The sequence below is a fragment of the Homo sapiens genome, chromosome 2 (genome assembly GCF_000001405.40).
Source record: "Homo sapiens chromosome 2, GRCh38.p14 Primary Assembly".
NCBI classification, from domain to species: Eukaryota; Metazoa; Chordata; class Mammalia; order Primates; family Hominidae; genus Homo; species Homo sapiens.
Window position 1 is genome coordinate 173,123,281 of NC_000002.12, and position 20,189 is coordinate 173,143,469.

The following is a 20,189-nucleotide window of genomic DNA, read 5'->3' on the forward strand; positions in this document are numbered from 1 at the left end:
CCTGATGTGCTGTATATTTCCCAGCATTCTTTATCTAACACCATGGGTACCTACCCCCACACATATTCCCAGGGTTCTGCCACTATATATTAACAAGGGTCTTGCAGGTTTTTGAGTCTGTAAGCCATTTCCTTCTGGGTGATGCTGTGTACTGTGAAGCATGTTGAGATTTAGGAACTGAGTGGTTATGAGAGATCTTGAGGAGAATGAGCATCCCCTTATAAAGACATCTACTCCAGGTGAGGCTACTCAGCAAAAGTTTTCCAGAAAAAGAAAGCTAGTCTCTTGAGACATAAGAGGGCAAGCAACTTCCATGGTCAAGGGAACCTCAGAGTTTCTTTGGGGCTTGAAATTGTTTGTTTCATCTTGAATTCAACCAGATGTTCCCCTTTCCAGGTTTCAGGTCCCATTCTTTTTTAATCAGTACCCTAACTTTCACATGAGAGACTGTGGTTGTAAATTCAACTGATGTTGTAATTCAGCAACACACCCAGTACATTTTTTTTTTTATTTCTGGAAATAGTAGCTCTATGACTACAGGAAATAAAATATTTTTTTAGAGCTAGTGTGGAAGCTCTCTGGTTCTTAGACTTGGGCTGGGGGTTAAAAACACCTCAACTTATTTTCTTTTGGTAGATGCTTCATTGCACTCAAAAGAATTCATTGTACCCTACAATCTTTATATTCATCATTACTGCCATAGCAGTCAAGGACAGCAGCCTCTTTGACTCCCAGACCTTGTTTCTGTTGGCACTTCATTGCAGTTAATCACAGGTGATAGCTTAGTTAATTTTGATGGGACTTTATGCCATGGATTACCAGCATCCCATATCCCATTGACAAGGATTGGTGCTGTCCTCCAGTCAAAGCTCATGACCATACTAATCCCAAAGTTCTATTAATATTTTTGAGGGTCTGTAACCAGGAACCACACTTGGTACCAACTCTGTATTAGAGTTCATTTAGGAAAATTAGTATAGAGAACTGTTGCCTAGTAAAAGGTGGTTGACTACTGAATGGGGTAAAAGAGACTCTAAAGTATATGGGGATAGCAAAGGCAGAGAACAGCTACTAGCTCCAGGCCTGATGAAGTGCATCCAAGGAAGGAGCAGATTGGAAGAGGGCCTGCTCCCCGGGCTGTGACTGAGACCTCATTGGAAAGGCTGCAGCTGCAAATGGATGATGGGGCGGTGGGGGTTGGTTGGGGTTCCATGGGTGGGAGCTGGTTCACAAGAAGCCACCTACTAGGGTGCTGGTGAGGCTTGATGTAGTGCCGCAGGTTGGAATTGTTCCATGAAAAGTTCTGGGTTGCCTGTGGCCAGAGCTGGTGAGCAGGAAACTGCCCATTAGGGTGTGACATGCCAGAACTTGTTCACAGGAATCCAGCTGCTGGGGTGTCCAGGAAACTTGCTGAAGGGTGAGCTCAACTGGATCTCCTGCACTCTGCTGGCAGCCAGACTGTCAAGAGGAAGAAAAAGCAGCAACAAACAAGAAAGATGCTCCTTCCTCTGCTACGACCCTTCCATGCCTCTATTAAGAAAGCTTAAAGTTGCAACAACTGGTTGGGCATGGTGGCTCACACTTGTAATTCCAGCACTTTGGGAGTCTGAGGCAGGAGGATCACTTGATCCCAGGAGTTCCAGGCTATAGTGAGCTATGATTGCACCATTGCACTCCAGCCTGGGGGACAGTGAGACCCTGTCTCTAAAGAAAATAAAGAAAAGGAAAATAAAAATTTTACCAACTGACAAAAGAGAGATGTTTTTACAGGGTCCAGCTCAAGTACCACATAGGAGGGTAAGGTGTGGATGTGGAACTGAGAGGCAGTTAATCCACAACTTGCACATTTTATAGAGTACTAGTCATTCTGAGAAGGAATGGGTATACCATTTTGTCTTCCCTATTTTAAGGAAGATAGGTATGTTGAATCCACCATTAAATATATCCCTTATAGAATCTCTTATCTTCTAAAAGAAAGCACTTTAACTATGTAATATGTTCTTGTGTACGTATTTCAGTCTTCAGAGCATTACTGTATATCAGTGAATCCTGGACTACACCTAAAGAATGTATATTGTTTTACAGCTTTTTAGCTTGGTGAGCAGGCTCATCACAGCAAAATAAGGATCTCAGATTATCCTTAGAGCAACCTTACTTACTTGTGTTTTTCTGCTTAGCAGTCTCCACCTCACAGTTTGAAAATAGGAAGTGAAGTTAAATGTTAGATGTGTTTTTTTTTTAAATAAAACTTTACTTTATTGAATGTACTAGCATTTCTTGTCAAACACTAAAAATGTCAGTACCCTGGGGATTGGAAGGGAAGATAAATTTTATTCCTGAGAAGAGTTTTCTCAGTAGGCTTTCTTTTCTTTATTTCCTTTTATTTATTTATTTATTTCTGAGATGGAGTCTTGCTCTGTCGCCCAGGCTGGAGTGCAGTGGCGCGATCTCAGCTCACTGCAAGCTCCGCCTCCTGGGTTCATGCCATTCTCCTGCCTCAGTCTCCTGAGTAGCTGGGACTAAAGATGCCTGCCACCACGCCCGGCTAATTTTTTGTATTTTTAGTAGAGATGGGGTTTCACTGTGTTAGCCAGGATGGTCTCGATCTCCTGACCTCATGATCCACCTGCCTCGGCCTCCCAAAGTGCTGGGATTACAGGTGTGAACCACTGCGCCTGGCCCCTTTTAATTTTTTAATTGTATGATATATACTCTTCCATTCTGTTTTGCAGTAATCTGTACATTATAAGTGAGCAGAAAAATTATACCACTAGAATGATTAAAAACAAATGCTTTCAAGCAATATAATTAAATTTCTTTATGGGACTATAACATGTTTAATCCAAAGGATGAGGCATTGTCTCTAAATATATATATTTTTAAAATACTTTGTGTAATGTTTTTGCCTGTGGCACTTATATAGGATTTATATAAATTAGAGTATTTTAGAGTTTCATATTATATAGTTGCGGCAGAGAAAAGAATGTCTGACGTTGGGCAAGAAAGAGATGATTCTATGGTATTCTAGTGGTGATATTGGGGTAAGGGTGGTTTCAAGGTAACAAAGTAACGATGAATTTTTCTTTTTTCTTTTTCTTTCTTTTTGTTTTTGTTTTTGAGACAGAGTCTCACTCTGTCACCCAGGCTGGAATGCAGTGGTGTAATCTCTGCTAACTGCAACCTCCACCTCCCAGGTTCAAGCGATTCTCATGCCTCAGCCTCCCAAGTAGCTGGGACTACAGGCATGCACCATCACACCTAGCTAATTTTCATATTTTTAGTAGAGATGGGGTTTCACCATGTTGGCCAGGCTGGTCTCAAACTCCTGACCTCAGGTGATCCACCCACCTCGGCCTCCCAAAGTGCTGGGATTACAGGCGTGAGCCACCGTGCCCAGCTGATGAATGTTTCTTTACAAAGAGAATATGCATTTCTTATTTTTATTAGCAGTCTAGAGGGAAGGGGAGTGAGAACTGCTTGGACTGCAGAATGCTCTTACAGACTATTCTAGGCAATAAAGCTTGCTTCGAAAAGCAAGCCAGACATTCTGTAGGCAGCATCCACACGTTTAACTCTGACATTGATTTCTGCAACATCAAGAAGGTGTGTGTTCCCTGGATTTTAGAAATTGAAATACAGCCTGTGAATGTTCTTAACTTCTGTGCTGGCCATGTGGTTTTAGAATGGACATTTAAGTTCCCCACCAAACCACAATCCCATCTGAGTTGGTATTGTGGTTTTCTTCAAACATACAACAGGAAGTAGGGACTAGCATTATGACCATTCAATAACATTAGGATTCTGATCACAAAATAAATACAACAAGGAAGAAGAAAGCAAATTTCCATTGAAGGAGACCACCCAGTGACCATTTCTAATTACAGTGAATCTAAGAAAGAATGAAAAGATGGATGTGTAGATACTGACTGCAAAGTCTGCAGAAGTTGGTTCCCATTGGCCCACTCCATTTCCTCTTCATTTAAGAATTCTGTGAATATTTAAATAATGTAATTAAGGATTTACTGCTCTGCCCTTCTCTTAAGACTTACTCTGCTATTCATAATGAAGGAAAGATAGAAGAAAAATAACTTTATAAATAATTTATTCAGAAACAGAAATTTTGCTTTTTGAAGATTCTGTTAAAAAGTCGATCTTTAGAATTAGCAGTATCTTTCAAATTTAAGATCCCAGCTTACAACAAGCACGTTTTCATTTTGAAGAGTTTTTGGCAGAGAAAAAAGATATGGGAAACAACTGGTATAAGATAGGAGAAAAAGTTAAAATATATTACATTTACAGTAAATAAACCGAACCTTTCTTCTTTCTTGGAGAAGCCTTTTAAAAAATTGCCTAATTCTCAAGTGAGATGGGTGTGGGAATTGGAAATAAGGTACTAACTCCAAAAATGCATATGTTGGTTGGGAATACATCAGTAAAATTTATCCTATGTTAGGACAAAAAAAAAAAAAGTAAGACATAAAGGCTGCCCCATAATTCATGCATATCAACCAATAATAAGAATACCTGCAATCCCTTATTGAACTCTTCCCATTTGTCAGGCATTGGGCTGAGTGCCCTGTGTGCATAGGTAACACCCCAGTGGGTTAGGAATTATTGCCAGGACGCAGGTGAAGAGATGGAGAGAAGTGAACATACATGCCCAAAGTCATATAGTTAGTAAGTGATAGAATCTAGACCTTCGTACCTGCCATGCACACACACATTATTTCAACTGTCCCTCTGTCAAATGAACCATACCTATTTTTTTCTCATATCTCATACCAGTTGAAGCCTTTCCACACCGAGTACAATTTCATGTTGATGCAAAAGATTATGAAAATTCTTGAAATGATTTCAATAATTTATTTTCCTCTGACACAAGGTTCATCTCACACTCCTCCTCCTTCATGCCTTCTCCAGTATTTCCAATGATAGTTTTCTAATTGCAGTTTCCAAGAAATGACATTGATTTGAGTTTATGCATCTGTAAAAGATCCAATCACAGCAGCATATGGAAAACATTATAGTTGACTTATTTATTTATTTATTTATTTATTTATTTATTTATTTCAGATAGAGTCTCGCTCTGTTGCTCAGGCTGGAGTTCAGTGGCATGATGTCGGCTCACTGCAGCCTCTGCCTCCTGGTTTCAAGTGATTCTCGTGCCTCAGCCTCCTGAGTAGCTGGGACTACAGGCGCGCACCACCAGCCCAGCTAATTTTTGTATTTTTAGTAGAGAGGAGGTTTTGCCATGTTGGCCAGGCTGGTCTCAAACTTCTGACCTCAAGTGATCCACTCGCCTCAGGCCCCCAAAGTGCTGGGATTACAGGTTTGAGCCACTGAGTCCAGCCTAAATTGACTTTAATGAAAAGTTTCCATGCTGTTCTTTGCATTAATTCTCCTTTAGCTGTTTGGAGACTTTGCTTAATCTCATGATTTTAGTACATTGTTGAGCTGATTCTTTCCTGAAAGTGCAAAATAATCACTTCCTGTTCAAACTAGATTCCCTTTAAATTACATTAAATAAGAACCTGTTTTTCCTGTGGTAATTTTAAAATTTAAAAATTTCAACTATTTTATATGAAATATGCTCCTTCAAGGAACCAAAAACATTCTTCAGATCAATTTTAGAAATCTTTTCTTTTTTTTTTTTTTTTTTTGAGGCAGAGTTTTACTCTTGTTGCCCAGGCTAGAGTGCAATGGCGCAATCTCGGCTCACTGCAGCCTCTGCCTCCTGGGTTCAAGCGATTGTCCTGCCTCAGCCTCCCGAGTAGCTGAGATTACAGGTGCCCGCCACCATGGCCTAGCTGATTTATTTTTTTATTTTTAGTAGAGACAAGGTTTCACCATGTTGGCCAGGATGGTCTCAATCTCGTGACCTCGTGATCTGCCCTCCTCGGCTTCCCAAAGTGCTGGTGAGCCACCGCGCCCAGCCAATTTTAGAAATCTTAAACATTTAAATCAAAGTTGTAGAAATATGTAACACTATATGAATACTTACTAACAGTTTTTTGGAGTATTTACTATGCTAAGCTCTTGCATGCATTATTTCATTTCATTCTTACCACAATCCTGTGAGGTAAGCACTATCATAGCTCATCAAATCTAAGATGCCTTTGGTTTAAAATATTATGCACCACTAAGAAAAAATGCTGCCAATGGAAACTGTAAGATGCCACCAATTGTAATACAGCCCCAGTGTCAGTGATACCAAAAGAAACATGCATCTTACAATCCATGAATACAACAGCATTATCACTGTTTTACATCTGAAGAAACTGAGACATAGAGAATTCAATAATTGCCAGAGATCATGCAGCAAATAGGAGCAGAGCTGGGATCTGAGTCCTGGTCTGACTAGATAGGTCTTGTGTTTGTAACTGTTGCATTTGTGCTTTCATAAGTGCTTTCATTAAGCGATATGGAGGTATTTAGAAATGAAACTTTACCAGATGTTTTATCTATACTTGACCTATTAAAATCAAGTTGGAATTGCCTTTTCTAAAATTACGCATAATCAGAAATTATAATTGAAGCTCACTTAAGTGGAGTCAAGAACTTGGGGCCAAACATACTATTACAAAAATAGAAAAAGGACATGAAGAGACATTTCACAAAAGGGTAGAGTATTTACTGTTGATAAAGATAAAAATGAATGCAGATACTCACTATTAGTAAGGACTTGGGAAATCAATACTCTCTAAATTTGTTTAAGGAACCTCTAAAATTGAGGCAACATAAGTTGATATATTTCCAAAGTGCAGAATTGCATTATGCGTCAAAATGTGCTTACTTTTGACCTCGGCATTTCACAACTCAGAATATATCCTAAGGTTATGGTCAAACAAGTGCATCTGATGAATGTGCAGAGATGTTCACTTAAGTGTTTTTATTATCATGAAACATTTGAAACAACCTAAATTTTCAACAGTAAAAAACTGGGCAAATAAATGTTGGTATTTTCATTCAATGAAAATTAAGCTAGTATGGAAAACAATTGTCTAGACCCATATTTACTGACATGGAAAAATGTCCATTTTTTTAAATAAAGCACCTTATAGACAATATAGATTTGCTTAATGAAGAACTGCCCTGAGATAATATCCATTAATGTTTATTATTCTCAAAAATCAGAAACAAAAAGGGTAATGAGAATATGTCAGTATTTTTATGCTATCAAGGAGACAGGGATACTCATATTTTTATCCTGGACTCTGGAATTAGTTGCTTCCCTCTCTGATGTCTTCATCTGTAAAATGAGAGTTAAAAAATAGAAAGATTGAAATCTTTCCAGTTTTAGATTTTAAATGCACGTTCACTAAAGTGCAGAATTAAATATGATATGAGAATGTGTTGGATCCTGTCCAAAGTATGCTGGTTAACAGAGAACCAACATGCTAGGGTGTGATCAGTCTGGGACGGTGCTGAGCACTGAGCTGTGAAAGTGTTCTATATGGAACAGACTTTGCGATTCTGTTCTCAGGACACTGTCTAGTAGATAAAATGAGACCAGCAGTGAGACAGTGGGAATTCTTGCTGATGATTGTTTTATGCCATGTAAGTGCAAAACAACAACTTTAACTGCACCAGGATTCAGAATGTGACAAGGTTTTAGGATCTATCAAAATTCTACTGAAACATGTGGCTATGACTAAAACAAATAAGATGCTTCTAAGAACAGATTGTGACTTGTCTATCAGCCCCTTTGAAAACAATGTGCATGCTATTTATTAGGGATTGTAATTACCTCATGGAGTAATGGCATTTGCACAGTTTTTGTCTGCCTCGATAAAAACCCTTGGCTGTGTCTGCTAACTTGGTGAAAAATCGCAGCAACAGAGGCAGCCCAAGGATCTTAAATCATCCTGTGCATACTCTCATTTTGTTTTTCTGCTGTGGCTTTTACCCACTAGAGGGGATAGTGCATTGTCTCCAGGGAATTAGAGACTGTCATATATGCCTTATAGAATACAAAGGAGCTTAAGTAATATACACACATATAAAGTTACATGTACAGTAATTGACATTAGGTGCTCCATTAAACAATGAAATGCCACAGTGTACCAGTTCTTCAGGACATGTTGCCATGGATACCCAGTGTGATGGAGATAGGGAAAGAGTTGCTTAGGAATTCAACGATTTCATTTTGAGGTGGAGTGAAAAATAAACTGCCCAGAGATAGGAACCATGAAACCAGTCATATATACAAGTAGTTGTTTTTGAAATTGTCAAATGAAAACATGTTTGAAAATGAGTACCAATTAATAACAGTTATTTTATATTGTCTGTAAGCCAAAGGGCTAGGCAGGGTTCTTTATTTCAGCTAGGAAATTATGTGGTATATTAGATATTTGCAGAAGAAAGTATTTTAATCAAAGCTGAATAAAATTCAGAAAATCATGTGTAGAAATATAGAAAGATGGCAGTGGAATGGTAGGAGGCAAGTTCTCTAAGGGTCTGCTCAGGTGCACTCAGTGTTGTGAACCTCAGGTTGCCTTGGGGTTGATGACAAAGCAAAGATTTCAGAAAGGAGCAAGTTTTAAGAATAAATGTGATGTGATAGAAGCAGAGGCAAGGTTGGCAGCTAACTGGTTTGGTGTGATTTCATGGTTTGCAACCAGGACTGAGTGTCTGATTCTTTGATTTTCTAGAGACATTCCTAATTTCATCCCTAACTCTCCCCAGATAAATTCTCATCTCTTATCAAAAACAAGGTCCCTGGAATGGAAAGTCAGGGAACTCCCTGAGGAAATGAGTGTTTAGCTGTATTCTCAGTCATGTAGGTTTTGTTGATCATAGATATTTTTGAATTGATGCTTTCTTGTCCCCATCTCTCCTTCCCTTAATTCAAGTCATACTTATCACTCCTTTCAGCCTCTGGTTATTCCCCCTTTCTGATTCATCTGTCATATGGACCTCAAATTTAAAAAGAAGAAAAAACAGATCAGATCATGTCATTTCTGCACAAAAATGGAGAAACTTTTGTTGGTTCTCCATTACCTATAGAAAACTTCTAATCCTTAATATGGCATTTAGTCCCTTTACAAAAGTCACCCTCAACAAAGCTTTCGTCTTCTCCTCCGGCTGACTCCCCACCCCTTGCACCCCATGTAGGCTGTGTATCAGCTTTAAGAGAGGGAAGAATCCTCTCCGAATGAGCAGTGTGCTTTTTCGGACTCCAGCTGAAATGCATTTCTACCCCTTCCCTGCCCCTCAGGCGCTTCTTGTCATTAAAACACCCTTCCTTCAAAGCCCTAGCCCCTCCTTGCCTCCACCCAGGAGAGTTAAAGTTTTTCTCTGTTTTCCACCTCTGCCAAGCATTTGTCTTCAGTTGCTTTTTGTAAGCTTTTCCCCTCCCCTGTCAGATATGTAGTGTGGTGTTAAAGGGATGGGTTCAGTATAGTGTAGTGACTAGGAGTGCAGGCTCAGAAGTGGTTGTTGAATTTGAATCCATCTCAGCTGTACCACTTGTTAGCTTTGTGACCCAGGGCCCATTACACAACCACTAAATCTCTTTCTTCATCTGCAAAATGAAGTTAACCTTGGTAGCTTGTTAAGGGAATTAAAAGAGAACACACAAGAAGTGTTTAGCACAGTGCCTAGCACATAGTATTAAATAAATGTTAGAAATGTATCCTGAGCGTTTCTCTTTTCCACTTCCATGCCCTCAACAGTACTTTACATACAGTAGGTACTCAAAAGTATTTATTGATTTAAAAATGTGGCTCACTCCTACACAGTCCTTCAATGTTTCTCTACTTAAGTTGGTGATAGAGATATATAAAATTTAGGGAGTCATCTTTCTAAATAGTTTCCTAAATTTTACATATTTTAAAATGGGAAGTATGGTGAAGAATGTGTATTTTTATTTAATTCCAAAATTTTAGAAGATAGTTTAGTAGCAAAGCAATGTAAACATCTGAGTCCTTTACCTAAAGAAGCTTGTATCAGTGTTTTTATCCATGGTGATAAAAAGTGTATAAGATCTGAAAGCAGATTGGGTAACACGTAGAGACGATGCACAGTTTGGAAACTACAGTTTCCAAATTAACACTAAGTTCTTGGAAGAAGCTTTCTCACAATAACTGTAACTGAAAGGACCCAGTGAAATGAGAGTAGATGCCAGAGTTTGATTTAGAGAGTGAGAGTCATTCAGGGACTGTGGCATCTGTCATACATTAGAATTTTAAATACAACCATAAATTAAGAGATAGTTGAGAGCATACCTTCAGAGAGTTAAAGAGCATACCTTCAGAGAATATGAAGGTATGCTGTATAACATTATAGTATGTTTAAGTTGAACAGGAACTCACAAGACCAACCTTTCTAATTTTGGCTGTGCTTCAAAATGACGTGGTGGGCTTGTTAAAACACACATAGCCCACAACAAGGACTCTGATTCAGTAGTTCCAGGGTAGATCCGAGGCTCCTGTGTGTGTGTGCATTTTAAATTTTTTTCTTTTAAACATTCATGCGGGCGGATCACGAGGTCAGGAGATTGAGACCATCCTGGCTAACATGGTGAAACCCCATCTCTACTAAAAAAAAAAAATCCAAAAAATTAGCCGGGCATGGTGGTGGGCACCTGTAGTCCCAGCTACTTGGGAGGCTGAGGCAGAAGAATGGCGGGAACCCGGGAGGCGGAGCTTGCAGTGAGCCGAGATCACACCACTGCCCTCCAGCCTGGGTGACAGAGCGATATTCCATCTCAAAAAACAAAAAACAAAAAACAAAAACATTCATGCCTGATGTAGCAGGTCAGTGGACTGGGGTTTGAGAACCACTGATTGACCCTAACCAGAGATTCTCAGTATGGGATTATTTTCTACATCATCTGGTAATCTGCATATTTTAAATACCTCTGGTGGTAGGAATCTTATATTAAGACACCCTCCTTGTTTTCAATAGCTATCTTTTTTTTTTTTTTTGAGACAGAATCTCGCTCTGTCCTCCAGACTGGAGTGCCGTGGCGTGATTTTGGCTTACTGGCTTACTGCAACCTCCAACTCCCAGGTTCAAGCAGTTCTCCAGCTCACCCTCTCTAGTAGCTAGAACCACAGGCGCATGCCACCACTCCTGGCTAAATTGTGTGTGTGTGTGTGTGTCTCTATACATATATATATATATATATATATATATATATATATATTTTTTTTTTTTTTTTTTTGCAGAGACGGGGTTTCGCCATGTTGGCCAGGCTGATCTTAAACTCCTGACCTCAAGTAATCCGCCCGTTTTGTCCTCCTCCCAAAGTGCTGGGATTACAGGCGTGAGCCACTGCCCCCAGCCCATTACTGCTGACTTAGTTGGTCTTAGTTAGAGGTTGCTTTACTTTAACGCTGCCCATTGGTTTTAGTACTGTCCTCTGGAGCTACATACATTGGAACTGATACTTCCTCCATGTGGCAGCCTTCAGATATTTCCAGGCAGCTATGATGCTCTTTTTACTTTTATTTTATTTAGGCTACAGAGCCCTTTCCATCCTTATTATGCTTAATATATGCCAGAACTGTGCTGGAAGTTGGAGACCCACAGGGATCTTACAGTCAAACTGGGAGAAAGAAACTTGTGAATATCTTCAGAACAGAGGAAGTGGTTTAAAGTGTGGATTCGGGCGTCAGACCCATGTTGAAATCCCTAGCTCAGCCACGTGACTAGCTTAGTCCTCAGGCAAGTTCTTTAACATATTTGTGCCTTAGTCTCCTCATTTCTAAAGTGAGGATAACAGGACCTGCCTCAGGACAATGCTTGGCATATAGTAAGTGTTCGATACATTTTGGCTACAAAATATACTAGGGGTTATAATTCTGATAGAAGCAAAGAGGATGTATTACTAATTGGATGGCAAAGTTTATCTGGTCCTGAAATAAAAATATTGAAAAAAAGTTTCCGTATACAAATTAGGCGATTTGTAAACACTTTTACAAGTACATAAAGAGCATTTAATTCTTGTAGAGTTAAATAATTTTATTCAATGTCCTATTCAATACTTCCATTAATAATTTAGGTAGCATCTGATTCACTCTGAGTTCCTGTAACAGTCGGAAGAGTAATTGACATGTTAAAAGGTGCAATAAGAATAAGAACCTGAAAAGATTTCAACAGATTAGAGCAGTGGGTTAACAGACGGAAATGAAAGTCCTGCATGGAGACTCTGGAAAGCTAAGGATTGATAGAGGATGAGGAAGATGTGGCTTAACAGAAGGACATTTTATATTTGGGGCTTATTATGAGTTAAAATGTGATATATTTGCCAGAAAAGTTAATGTGATTTTCAAACTGTGATGGGAAGATTTTAGAATCCTGAATGAAGGAGATCATACCCTATTCTTCTGTGTTTAAAGTTTTAGATCTTTTCCTCCTTTGCTGTTTGGGAAATCAGCCAGCCTCTCTGGGACTAGGTTTCTGCACTTATAAAATGGGGATAATTTCTGCCCAGTTATATTTCTCTGAATTGTAAATGTCAAATATAATGAATGCAGGAGATATCATTATCACTCTAGACAATTTTATCACATTTTTTCATATGCTTCAAAACCCTTTTCCTTGATATGAGTGACAACTTAGTATCACCAGTTTTTATTAACCATGTATAATTTTAATTAACTGAATTTAAATTAACTAAAATCTTAGGGATTGTAGCATATAGATTATTAGACTTGCTTTAAACACTCAGTAGAAATGTGAGCATCTAAGTGGTTGGTAAATAGTGAATTATTTTTCACTGCTTTTTAGTTTAGATATTCATTGACAAACCTGTGTGCTACACTGACCAAGGTGTTGTAGAATAAGTTGTACTGAATACCTTAACAACATCAATGCTAAAATTAGCTGTAACAAAAGCAGCATGTGCCACCTTGTTGAATAGCCTGTGTTCCACTTTTAGGGAAAAAGGATACCCCAGGAATATAGGGAAAGAATAGAGTGGCAGTTTCTTTTTACAGCATTTGCTGATGGCACGGAGGAATGTGATTTTTGGGGTGTGGGGCTCCTTTTTCCTGTTCGTTCATGTTTCTTTCCCTCTTTTTGACTTAGTCACTGTCATAACAGAAAATGCATAATATGGAGATCAAGAGCCTGCAGATTACAACTCTAATTATGTTTTAAACCCAAACATGAAAATTAGAATTCTTTTACACACAATCTGACAGTTTTCCATCAGCTTTAAATTGGCATTTTGGATTGTGTTCTCTGCAGTGCCTGAAGAGCCTCGACAGAGAAGGAAAGAAGCAGAGGGTGAGAAAGAAAGGAAGATTCTAAATGACAATCTTTTGAATAGTGCAAGTTCAATCCCTAAAACAAAAAGCAAGATCTTTTTTCCCCTAAATAATGTGCTCTCCGGCTTCACCTCTCATCCTGAGGAACATGAAAGAGAACGTAAAAGAGGTGACCCAAATCACAGAGTGCCTTTGATAGGAGAAATTCAGCTGTTTTGAACACTCACAATCAAAGGAAGTGGTTTCCCTAATTACATGAACTATGTGAAATCTCTCAGAATAGCTCTTCCACCCCAGGATTCCTTGCACTTTAGAAGTTTGCATAAAAGCTCACATAGAGAATCAGATGCAAAGTGTTTGATTCAGATTTTATTAGGCAGAAGAGTGCCCACATCCATCCTGCAGTTTGCCAGCTGCTTAGGTTAGGACCACTATACCTGGTTTTGATGTGGTTGTCTTTCAAACCTGCAACATTAAGATCTTTGTTCTATCCTTTTCTTGCAAGAAGCACCACTTTTTAGGGAGAGTAGCGATGAAAATTTTTGGAAGATTGGTCTTCTCAATTTCTCTCCTGACCTAAAAAGGATTGATGGCTGTGTTTGTGAACTTTACGTGGGAAAACATGCTTTCCTGTGTGTTTGTAGCTGGCGAGTGTTAAAGCGTTAGATTTGATTAAGCTCTTTAATCTGTTTAAAAATGGTTAAATGTCACAATGACTTACCTTAAAATTTATATATGCAAAATTCCCCATTTACTGTCAGGATCTAGACTAGGAATCTGCCAAAACACCTGGACTAAAGAATAATAGTGATTATGGCTTATTAGATCTTTTGTGCCTTGGTAGTCACCTTGTTACTGAGAGATACGGTGTAGTGTAGATGTGTACAGAAGAGAATTATAAATACCCTATGTTCTCTGTTTGGGAAGGCAAGTATAAGTATGAATGCAGAAGACAGAAGCATCCATTTTAATTTAAATGTCAGCTTGAGAAGATTTTTTTTTTTCTGGTTGAGTAATTTTAAAGTAAGAGAAATTGTCTAGTATGTAATTACATATGAGTAAGAAGTGTGCATGTTTTATTTTGTCTCTTTTCTCTCCCTCTCTTTTTTTCCTTTTTCCTGTGAATAGGTATGTTGCTCTTATTGTAGTTTATAAAATATTCTTTTGAGAATCTGTGTGTCCCAAAAAAGAAAAGGGAATCTATGAGCAGAAATGGAAGGAAATTTTATTTTTACAGTTTTTAAAGTACTGGCTTTAATTGTAACCCACATAAAATTTCCTAATACTAGTGCTGTTGACACGTGGGCATCAACATTTAAGTAACAGAAAGTAAAAGTGATCCTCAACCATACAAGCCACAAAAATCTACTTGAACAATTACCTAGCAATTTCTTTCTACTTTAACCATCCTCATTTATTCCAGGTAAGTAGCTTATTTGAAAAGACACGTAGATTAATAAATATTTGTGATTTTTTGTTCTTTTTTGAGACAGGATCTTGCTGTGTCGCCTAGACTGGAGTGTGCAGTGGCGTGATCTCGGCTCACTGCAACCTCCGCCTCACAGGTTCAAGCAATTCTCCTGCCTCAGCTTCCCAAGTAGCTGGGACTACAGGCGCCCGCCACCCAACCCAGCTAATTTTTTTTGTATTTTCAGTAGAGACGGGGTTTCATTATGTTAGCCAAAGTGATCTTGAATTCCTGACCTCGTGTTTCGCCCGCCTCGGCCTCCCAAAGTGCTGGGATTATAGGCGTGAGCTACCGTGCCTGGCAAATACTTGTGATTTTAAAGGGATGTTTAAAATCTGAAAGTGTCCATGATTATGAAATATGCACTTTTTCTATTTTGTGTGTTTTGAACTCCTAATTATGGATGTGTTAAGGTTTGGATATTTTGTACACAGTCATAGCATTGTAATATGGGGAAGATTTGAAAGATGATGAAGGATTGACACTGTAGTGTAGGTTTTTTGCTTAACAGGTGGGTTTTCACATAATTGTGAAAAGTTCTGTTCTCTTAGAAATCGAATACAATACACAAACTGAAATTTTAATAGCTATTTTAGTCCAACAGCCCCAAGCCCTCATTTTAACAATCAGTAATTTGAAGTTCAGATAGGTGATGTTCAGTAGCAACAGATTCAGTCCAAGGGCCCAGGTCTTTGGTTTGCTGGTTTGGAGCTCTTACACCCTGTTAGGTTCCCTCTGTGTCTGTTGCTTTTTAAATGATACTCAACTGCCTACTGGATGCTTGTGACAAGAGAGAAGGTTTGATATTCCTGAATGATAGCCACTTATTTGATAACACTTTAACATTAGCACCAAAAGGTCATTTTGTTTTCCTTCTTCATCTGGTACTTCTATCAGCTAGGGCCATAGTACCACATGAATTGCTGTTCTAGATCAAGATTGTAGCTAAGTCATTTCAGACACTGCGAATTCTGTATCTGTTTTTAAAAGTCCACAGGCTGTCTGGAAGTGGGTTCAATCATACTCACCATTCAGAAGTTCTGCTTAATGGCTGGCTTAAGTAACTTTTGTTAACGTTTGAACTTGGTATCCTCAAATGATAGTATATAATATTACTCAGTGCTTTGCCATTTGTAAAGCACTGTTACTTACATTATTTCCTTGCAAATGATGAAGCAAGTGTGTATGATTCCCAGAAGCACACTGGAGAAGTACAGTGCTTAATCTGAGGTTTTTCTGGCTTTGGACCCAGTGTGTGCTCTACTCATAATAGAATCTCAGCTTTGGAAAGGACTTTAATTGACCATATTTCCGATGCCTTAATGTCCTCCGAAACATTACTGCCACAAATGGGCATTTACCTCCTGTTTGAATTCTGATTGCTTATGAAGGAGAACTCAGTAGCCTCCTGGGCCAGTCCCTTTTATCTTTGGGAAACTGACTATTAGAAAGTTCTTCTCTGAGTTATTCTGAGTCTATACCATATGCTGTCTAACAGTGCTTGTTTGGACCAAGGATAAAAGGATCAATGTAATGCTGTAATATGATTTTAAAAACAACATTAAAATTATACTCTTCAGAAAACTCTTACAAAATGACATTTATTAGGTGCCTACTTTCCCCCTGATTGTTATCTTACTTATAAGTAAAATAACTTCATTTATTTTAGCTTTTTAGTTTTCTGTGAATTTTTAAGTTCTTTTTCTTGCTTGGTGGAATCTCTTCCAAAAATAAAAAATGACCAGTGCTTACTTAAGTAAAGGAACCAATATGGATATAGTTAGTAAACGAAAAGTAGATTCCTAAATATTTTATTTTACACACTCAGTATCATGTTTCTTTTTAAAGTTTCTATTCATAGCCATTTGTTTACTGTGACCCTGCTATACTTACACCCACATATTTCCATGTTATATTTACTTCCTAGATTTTAAATTTTTATGTTAAAAAAGTAATACATGTTCAGTGTAAAACAAGAAATTTCAGCAGTATGCAAAGTAAAAAAGCAGTTTTCCTTCCCTGCAATCCTATACTTAATTTTATTTATTTATTTATTTATTTATTAGATGGAGTTTCACTCTTGTTGCCCAGGCAGGAGTGCAATGGCGCAATCTCAGCTCACTGCAACCTCCGCCTCCCGGGTTCAAGCGATTCCCCTGCCTCAGCCTCCCGAGTAGCTGGAATTACAGGCGCGTGCCACCATGCCTAGCTAATTTTTGTATTTTTAGTAGAGATGGGATTTTGCCATGTTGGCCAGGCTGGTCTCAAACTCATGACCTCGTGATCCACCCACCTCAGCCTCCCAAAGTGCTGGGATTACAGGCATGAGCCACCACGCCCAGCCACAATCCTATACTTTAAAATCATTAGTTTGTGAGTAACTTTCCAGATTTTTTTTTTGAGATGGAGTTTCACTCTTGTTGTCCAGGCTGGTATGCAGGGGCACAATCTCAGCTCACCGCAACCTCTCTGCCTCCTGAATTCAAGTGATTCTTCTGCCTCAGCCTCCCAAGTAGCTGGGATTAGAGGCATGCACCACCACACCCGGCTAATTTTGAATTTTTAGTAGAGATGGGGTTTCTCTATTTTGGTCAGGTTGTTCTCGAACTCCCAACCTCAGGTGATCCACCCGCTTTGGCCTCCCAAAGTGCTGGGATTACAGGTGTGAGCCACTGCATCCAGCCCAGATGTATTTTTTTCTCTGTATTTATAACTATCGCTAATACTATTCCCCCCATAAAAATGGATCATGTGAAGAGGGTGGCATGAGGGAACCTTGTGATGAAATTTTCCTGTATCTTGACTGTGGTAGGAATCACTTGAATGTACGTGTATGACAAAATTATGCGGAACTAAACATATACACACACACACACGAGTGCATATAAAACTGGTGAAATCTGAATAAAGTTGGTGGATTGTGTAAATGTCGATTTCTATTGGGAGAAACTGGTTGAAAAATATATAGGTTCTCTCTGTATTATTTCTTATAATTGCATGTGTATCTATAATTATCTCAAAGTAAAAACTTAAAAAAACTAGATTATGATATTTTATATGTATATATATCATAAAAACGTGTCCCAATGTGTAAGTTGTAAATCACCTCGCAACTTACTTTTTGAACTTAGTATACTGAGGCACTTTTTTATGTGACTACACGTAGAGCTACCACATTCCTTTTAATAACTTTTTTATTTTGTATTTAAATAATATTTGTTTACTTCACATTTACTTTTTATACTAAATTCTCGTGTAGTATTATTAGAAAAACTAGACATGTGAAGTAAAACATATTAGACATGTGAAGTTGTAATTAGCAGACAAAAGACTACAAAGCAGCTTTTATAAACATGTTCAAGAACTTAAAGGAAACCATGGTTAGAATGAGAGAGCAGAATCAGTAATTCAGCAGGAAGATGGAAACTAAAAATTCTAGAACTGTAAAACTACAGTCTCTTTAAATGTAAATTGTACTGATGGGGCTTAACAGCAGATTGAGGAAGGCAAAAGAAAAGGTCAGTATATGTGAAGACAGATTAATATAATTTATCAAATCTCAAGACCAAACAAAAAAAATTTTAAAAATTGAGCAGTTACACATGAGACAATGTCAATCTAATATACATTAATGGAATCACAGAAAGAAAGGAGAGAGAGAGAGGGGATGGATAGAAAAATATGTGAAGAAATGATGACTTCAAGTGCCCCAACTTTGATGAAAACCATACACTTACAGTTCCAGCAAGCTCAGAAAACCCCAAGCAGGATAAATTAAAAATGAAAACCAGAAACACCACACTCAGTCACATCATAGTTAAACTGCTAAAAATCATTGATGAAAAGAGAAATGTCAAAAACAGCCAGAAAAAAAAGACACATTACATAAAGGAAGCAATACCAGTTACTTCTCACTAGAAACAATGGAGGCCAAATGACAGTGGAATGACCTGTAATATGCCAAAAGAAAAAAGATAACTGCCATTTTAGAGATCAATACCCACTTAAAATAGTCTTCAAAACTGAAGATGAAATAGACATTTTTAGATAAATGAAAGCTGAGATAATTTATTGCCAGCAGATTTAGTTATGGTTAATATTAGGGTAAATACAAATGATCATTTTAAAAATTCTTTTAATTTCTTCAAAAGACAACAGCTAAAAGGAAAGTTGCAGTGTTATATTATGGGTTGTATAATGTATGTACGTTAAAATATATAACACATGGCTGGGCGTAGTGGCTCACGCCTATATCCCAGCACTTTGGGAGGCCGAGGCGGGTGGATCATGAGGTCAGGAGATCGAGACCATCCTGGCTAACATGGTAAAACCCTGACTCTACTAAAAATACCAAAAATAAGCCCGGCGTGGTGGTGGGTGCCTGTAGTCCCACCTACCCAAGAAGCTGAGGCAGGAGAATGGCATGAACCCAGGAGGTGGAGGTTGCAGTGAGCTGAGATCGTGCCACTGCACTCCAGCCTGGGCAACAGAGCGAGACTCCGTCTCAAAAAAAAAAAAAAAGTAGTATATATATATCACAATGACACAAAGGATGGGGAAGTGAGCAAGCATCTTACATTTTATGTGTAGCACAAAATTAAATCTAAGTAGACTGTGGCAAAAATATATGTTGAATTCTTAGAGCAACCACTACCTACCCCCACAAAAAAACAAAACAAAAGAGGTATAGCTAAAAAGCCAATGAATGAATGAAAATGATATACTAAGAAAAAAATTGTTAAAACAAAGACAGGAAAGGAAAAACAGGGGAACAAAAAACAAATAGAACGAATTTTTAAAAACCAAGATAGTAAACTTAAGCCCAGTAATATACATAATTACATTAAGTATAAATGAATTAAGCACCCCAATTAAATGGCAGAGATTGCTAGGCTGGATGAAAAAGCAAGATCCAGCCAGGCACAGTGGCTCACACCTCTAATCCCAGCAATTTGGGAGGCCAGGGCAGGAGGATCACTTGAGCCCAGGAGTTCAAGGCTGCAGTGAGCTGTGATCACACCATCGCACTCCAGCCTGGACAGCAGAGCTAGAACCTGTCTCAAAAAGAAACAAACAAAAAACAAAAAAATAAAACAAGACCCAACTATATGCTATCTACAAGAGGTGTATTTTAAATATAAGACACAGATCTGTTGAAAGTAAAAACATGAAATGGGAAAAGAGGGGTATGCAAATAGAAAGCATAATAAAGGTGTAGTGGCTCTATTAATATCAGACACAGTATGGACTTCAGGAACCAAAAGTATTACTAAAGATAAAATGATTTAATAATGATGATTTAAAAAGTCAGTTTCTTAAAAGATATAACAATCATAAATGAATATTTATCCTAATAACAGAGCTTCAAAATACATGAAGCAAAACTGATAGAACTAGAAAAAGAAATAGACAAATTCACAATTACATTTGTAAATTTTAAATATCCCCCCCTAAGCAACTGAGACATTATACTTAACAACTACAAAATATACATTATCTTCAGG

The 20,189-nt window shown here is 38.2% G+C and overlaps 1 protein-coding gene across 8 annotated transcripts in view, besides 1 other annotated feature; it reads left to right on the plus strand.

The window, feature by feature from the left end:
- The window catches only part of MAP3K20 (mitogen-activated protein kinase kinase kinase 20), a 192,499-nt gene that overhangs the window by 47,764 nt on the left and 124,546 nt on the right, over positions 1 to 20,189 (plus strand). The gene's annotated exons all lie outside the window — the stretch shown is intronic.
- Positions 15,914 to 16,083: an enhancer, noted in NCBI's record as "experimental_56397 CRE fragment used in MPRA reporter constructs". NCBI's record gives its function as "activates a minimal promoter by MPRAs in K562 erythroleukemia cells, with activity observed for the introgressed 2:174004007 variant allele {active_cell/tissue: K562}" and the evidence as "EXISTENCE:reporter gene assay evidence [ECO:0000049][PMID:34662402]".